Genomic DNA, 6,562 nt, shown 5'->3' on the forward strand with positions numbered 1-6,562 from the left:
TGGGTTCTCTAACCTGTTCCATAGTGCCACATTGTTTTGGTTACTGTGGCTGTATAGCATGGTTTGAAGTCAGGTAGCATGATGCCTCTGGCTTTGTTCTTTTTCCTTGGAATTACTGCAGCTATTTGGGCTCTTTTTTGTTTGCATATGAATTTCAGAATGGAATTTTCTAATTATGTGAAAAATGATGTTGGTATTTTGATAGGGATAGCATTGAACCTGTAAACTGCTTTGAGCAAAAGATATTTTCGAATAGCTCAAAACTGAGAAAATTATGACCAACAGAATGTTCTAAAGACATTTTTAAAAGGTATTTGCAGGCAGATAGAAAAATATTTGGGAAAGAAAATCTGAGAAAATGTGAACATCGGCATTATCCCAGCAGTTTCCCTCACATGATTTCACTGTTTTCACAGCAGATGCATAACATAGGTGCCATTCTTCTCACTTGAAGGCAAGGATTGGAGTGAATTGACCAGTGCAAGCCAGATCAAAAGTAACAATAACGCTTTTCCAACACACCTCACCACGTGCCACTGGCATCTGCATTTGGCCGTGACTTAGCCCTAGTAAACAGTTTGCAGCTCTCATTCGTGCCCTGTTTTGGAAAGGGTTCTAATTCTAATTTTCCACTCGTGTAGGGGACTGGGAGTATTTGCATCATGTAACCTTGAAAAACACACACACAAATCCTGGAGAACTCCAAAGTCATTCTCCCTTTGTGACAATGACAGGTGCTTTGAAATATTTGTTTTACTTCAGAAGTTAGGTGTTGAGGAAAAGGGCTTTCCATGTTCCACAGGATTAGTGCTGATCAAGAAAATGGATTTGTAAGACGAGGCATTGAAAAGCAGGTAGATTAAAAATAAACAAACAACAAAAATAATAAGCTAGAGTAAAGTAAGTACCTTGTAAAGCCTGTTTCTCAATGTAGAGTTTGACCAGAATCATTCTGTCACTGCTATGAAAATAAATTTCTGCCCCTGATCTGTCACTTTCTACCTTGCCACTTGAAGACCCAAATGCTATCAGATATGGACATTTCTCCATAGCTGCATTTTAACAGCCTCAGAATTTTTAGTTTGATTAACACATTGATAAGACATATATTTTAGTTAATACAAGGGTGCCTGTGGGATTTTGGGGGAAAAAATTCCAAAAATGAGGCCACACTGGAAATATTAAATACAGATATAGCAGTAAAACATTCAGCTAAAATAGCAATAAAATGGACCTCCAATGAGCCCCTTGAGGAATTAAAAAGAGCAGCTTCATTCCGCGGGTGTGTTCAGACAGAAATAAATCAACTTGGCTCTGCCAAGTAGAAATAGGACCCCGGTATATCTTTATTTAAGATATGTAGGTTGCCAAGCCAGGAGAGTGTGGAGGAGAAATACATATTGTTTTTGAAACTAAAACATGAATATGGTTGTAATTTTAATGTTTCTTGCTGCAAAAAGGTCATCTTTGGCGAGGTCGGGGCTTTCTTAAGGTCATTTCCCATTGAGATATCTGCCTTCCCTTGACATTTCATCTAACGGAGGCCCAACTCTTCTGACATACGAAATGGGTTCTTTGCACACCCCATGGCTATTTCTATCAACATTTGTGATTCGTACACAGAGCGGAATATGCACTGATCATAGACAAATCTCCAGTCCCTCGGAGGCTGTAGATGAAGTTCAGGGAACAAGAGAAAGTTTTTTTATTATTATTATTATTTAAAGGGATAGAGACCATATTTCTAAAATAAGAGTCTAGCATTAAATCCCTGGGTGGGGGAAGGGGATACAAAGAGATTGTGAATATAAGAAGTATTTGGTTTGTTGTTAATCCTTCACCACAAAAACCCTTCACACAAAAAGTATACTTTAAGGAGAGAGATATTTAATTCATTCCAAAATACTAGCAGGTCACCTCTACTCTCAGGAAAAGCAGAGCAGATTTATAATTTTATAATAATTTTAAAATTAGATTACCTGAAGCTGCACTCTAGTAAAATACATTATGAGCACCTACCTCAATCAAACTTCCCTTGGGTAGATGTTTTAAATGGCATGAAACCTGGATCTGAAAGAAGACCTTGTAAACCTGCCTCTGTCACTTTTCATCTGTGTGACCACGGTCTAGCCGTTTGTCCTCTCTGAGCGTTGTTGGAATGTAGTGACAGTAATATATAATTCTAGAACATGGATCACACTTGTCTGAGAGACATTTGCAGAATAGCCTAAATTGGAAGAATCATTATCATTGTCTTTCATCACTGATGACTGTGATGTTTATTTTAACAGCTATGTACAACAGAGCTAGATTTCCTAAGTCATTGAGGGGCTATTAATCTATATGGAACTTCATCTAAAAATTGCAAGAAATCATTTTTTTCTTGAGATATATGTCTATTTATATTATCCAGTTGCTTTTTATTAATTTACTTGATATAATCTTTTTTTAAAATTATACTTTAGGTTCTGGGATATATGTGCAGAATGTGCAGGTTTGTTACCTAGGTATACTTGTGCCACGTTGGTTTGCTGCACCCATCAACCCGTCATCTACATTAGGTATTTCTCCTAATGCTATCCTTCCCCTTGCCCTCCACCCCCCGACAGGCCCCAGTGTGTGATGTTCCCCTCCCTGTGCCAATATGTTCTCATTGTTCAGCTCCCACTTATGAGTGAGAACATGTGGTGTTTGGTTTTCTGTTCCTGTGTTAGTTTGCTGGGAATTATGGTTTCTAGCTCCATCCATGTCCCTGCAAAGGGCATGAACTCATTCTTTTTGTATGGCTGCATAGTATTCCGTGGTGTATATGTGCCACATTTTCTTTTTCCAGTCTATCATGGATGCACATTTGGGTTGGTTCCAAGTCTTTGCTATTGTGAATAGTGCTGCTATAAACATATATGTGTGTGTGTCTTTATAGTAGAATTATCTGTAAACCTTTGTGTATATACTCATAATAGCGTTGCTGGGGCCAAATGGTATTTCTAGTTCTAGATCCTTGAGGAATCACCACACTGTCTTCCAGAATGGTTAAACTAATTTACACTCCCACCAACAGTGTAAAAGTGTTCCTATTTATCTACATCTTCTCCAGAATCTGTTCACAATTGCTACAAAGAGAATAAAATACCTAGGAATACTACTTACAGGGGATGTGGAGGACCTCTTCAAGGAGAACTACAAACCACTGCTCGAGGAAATAAGAGAGGACACAAACAAATGGAAAAACATTCCATGCTCAAGGATAGGAAGAATCAATATCGTGAAAATGGCCATACTGCCCCAAGTAATTTATAGATTCAGTGATATTCCCATCAAGCTGCCATTGACTTTTTTCACCAAATTAGAAAAAAAAAAAACTACTTTAAGTTTCATATGGAACAAAAAGAGCCTGTATAGCCAAGACAGTCCCATGCAAAAAGAACACAGCTGGAGGCATCAGACTACCTGACTTCAAACTATACTACAAGGCTACAGTAACCAAAACAGCATGATACTTGTACCAAAACAGATATATAGACCAATGGAACAGAACAGAGTCCTCAGAAATAACACCACACATTTACAACCATCTGATCTTTGACAAACCTGAAAAAAACATGCAGTGGGGAAAGGATTCCCTGTTTAATAAATGGTGTTGGAAAAACTGGCTAGCCACAAGCAGAAAACAGAAACTGGACCCCTTCCTTACACCTTATATAAAAATTAACTCAAGATGGATTAAAACTTTAAATGTAAGACCTAAAACCATAAAAAGCCTAGAAGAAACCCTAGGCCATACCATTCAGGACATAGGCATGGGCAAGGACTTCATGACTAAAACACCAAAAGCAATTGCAACAAAAACCAAAATTGACAAATGGGATCTAATTAAACTAAAGATCTTCTGCCCAGCAAAAGAAACTATCATCAGAGTGAACAGGCAACTTAGAATGGGAGAAAATTTTTGCAATCTATCCATCTGACAAAGGGCTAATACCCAGAATCTACAAGGAACTTAAACAAATTTATAAGAAAAAAACAACCCCATCAAAAAGTGGGTGAAGGATATGAACAGACCCTTTTTTTTTTTTTTTTTTTTTTGAGACGGTGTCTCACTCTGTCACCCAGGCTGGAGTGCAGTGGCATGATCTCGGCTCACTGCAAGCTCCGCCTCCCAGGTTCACACCATTCTCCTACCTCAGCCTCCCGAGTAGCTGGGACTACAGGTGGCTGCCACCACGCCTGGTTAATTTTTTGTATTTTTAGTAGAGACGGGATTTCACCATGTTAGCCGGGATGGTCTCGATCTTCTGACTTTGTGATCCACCCGTCTCAGCCTCCCAAAGTGCTAGGATTACAGGCGTGAGCCACTGCACCTGGCCGAACAGACACTTTTCAAAAGAAGACATTTATGCGGCCAACAAACGTATGAAAAAAACAAAACAAAACTCATCATCACTGGTCATTAGAGAAATACAAATCAAAACCACAATGAGATACCATTTCACTCCAGTTAGAATGGTGATCATTAATATGTCAGGAAATCTATTCTTTAGAACAGAGCTGCCCAGATAAATATAATGCAAGCCACATATATAATTTTACATTTTCTAGTAGGCACATTACAAAAAATAAAAACAAATTAATTTGAGACAGAAATTTGATGTATCGCAATATATCAAAAATATTATAATTTGAATATGAAATAAAGATAAAAATAAATAACCATTTTTATAATTATAATTATTTGGAGACAGGGTTTTGCTCTCTCACCCAGACTGGAGTGCAGTGATGTGATCATGGCCCACCACAGTCTTAATCTCCTAGGCTCAAGCAATCCTCTTGCCTCAGCCTCCTGAGTAGCTAGGACTACAGGTGTGCACCACCACACTGGGCTAATAAAAATTATTTATGGGATATTTTACATTATTTTTCATACTGCATGATTGAAATTTAGTGTATATTTTTATACTTGCAATCATATCTCAATTCAGACTAGCCACACTTCAAATGCTCAACAGCCACATGTGGCTTCCATGACAACTGTGTTGAAGAGTGCAGCCTTAGAATAAAGGGGTTGAGAAGCAAACTACTCCATGCTTGTCCTAGCTTAGAGGAGTGGAAAATGAGACACGGAAGGAGGAAGTGACTTGACCAGGGTTATGTATTATAGTCATTTAAATGGTGGACCCCAAGAAGGGGGCTTTTTAAAAGTAAATACAGAACAAGACTTGATTGTTAGAAAGTTGACAACTTATATTAAAAAAAAAAAAAAAAAGTACCCAAAATGGAGCCAAGCCCATTTCCTACCTTTTTTCAATATTGTTCTTTTGGACCTGGTAAATTCTTAAATGAGAGTAGGAAAAATGCCTTTGTTTTCTTACCTCCCACGTTAGCATTCTTTGTTGTTGGAACATTTCACTAAGTGGATCATCTAACCCCATCTACTGGGACTTAGGGATTTGGGGGGTCACCTGTGCGTGTGTGTGTGTGTGTGTGTGTGTGTGTGTGTGTGTGTGTGTGTGTGTTCGGGATGAACAGTTGCTTTGGAGAAAAAAATCAGCGTACCAAGAAGCAGGGAAAGTGTGACTGCATGGTTTCAGGAAGGTGGGATGACTTGTTTAAGAACCCACCCTCCGTACACCTGACCTCATGCATTGGGATCTGCGTCCCTCTCACAGCGCTGGCTGTTCTGCCCGATATTCAGGAGGAAGCAAAGGCACATGGCAGCTGTCCAGACAGTGGGGGACCCAGGTGCTGTCCTTCTGGAAAGCATCCAGGTGCCCCCAGGGTTAGAAAGAGGGGAATATCCAGGTGTAACTGCAGGTTTGCTTCTTGTTACTGCCTCCCACCCTGTGCCCTCCTGCTTACACGCAAACCATCTTGGGCAAGCCTGGCAACCATACCTTCATTTTCTGCCACGTGAAAAGGCCAGAGGCTGCCAGGGGAAGCCATAAAGTGTTTTTGTTCATTCATTTGGAAAGATTAGGAAATAGGGCAAGAGAGTTGTACATTTCTCCTGGAGGACCTCCCAACATTGTGCTCTGAAGACAGGCCTTGCCTTTCCTGACTCATAAACTAGAATGATCTACCTTTCCATACAGTGAGGCATAATGGGATGCAGACAGCTCTGCAGGCACCATCACAGATAGCATGTTCCATTTCTAGCTCCTTCTCATTTCATTTCTTCATTCATCCATTAACGTCTCTGCCTTTGGGGAGTTCATTACCTAATGAAGGAGGGTGATGCATCAATCAATAACTTCAGCTTAGAATGACACTGGCAGTGAGTGCATGTCAATGGCAAAGATGTGCATGGTGGAAGAAGCCTCTATAAAGAGGGGATCTGAGCAGCTCCGAGTCTTAGGAAGAGCTTCCTTGCAGAAGAAAAGAAGGAACTGGAGTCAATAGGATGGACAGGATTAATTAGGTTGTGGGAGTGAAAGGGCAGAGCTCAGCACAGCTCTCTCCTGGTGGGAGAGTAGATTGTACCTTTAAGGAATGGAAAAAGGGAATGAAACATTTGAAAAAGGTGATTCCTGAATTCTTTGACTCTCCTTTCCTTTCATCAAGGGGA

At 39.8% G+C, this 6,562-nt stretch overlaps 2 long non-coding RNA genes across 4 annotated transcripts in view; both read right to left on the bottom strand.

Annotated features, from left to right (window-relative positions):
* LOC105370655 (uncharacterized) overlaps positions 1-6,562 on the bottom strand; it is a 102,277-nt gene that overhangs the window by 22,752 nt on the left and 72,963 nt on the right. The gene's annotated exons all lie outside the window — the stretch shown is intronic.
* On the bottom strand, positions 1,295-6,558 carry LOC105370654 (uncharacterized). 3 transcript variants are annotated; one of them, XR_007064391.1, is made up of 3 exons: positions 6,478-6,558; positions 6,216-6,362; positions 1,295-1,669 (listed from the first exon to the last, which is right to left on the bottom strand). It is a non-coding gene; the product is annotated as an uncharacterized LOC105370654 (long non-coding RNA). The 3 variants fall into 3 exon arrangements; XR_944191.2 differs by having other exon boundaries at positions 6,078-6,362; XR_944192.4 differs by lacking the exon at positions 6,216-6,362 and adding an exon at positions 6,078-6,215 and having other exon boundaries at positions 6,478-6,545.

The sequence above is a fragment of the Homo sapiens genome, chromosome 14 (genome assembly GCF_000001405.40).
Source record: "Homo sapiens chromosome 14, GRCh38.p14 Primary Assembly".
NCBI lineage: Eukaryota > Metazoa > Chordata > Mammalia > Primates > Hominidae > Homo > Homo sapiens.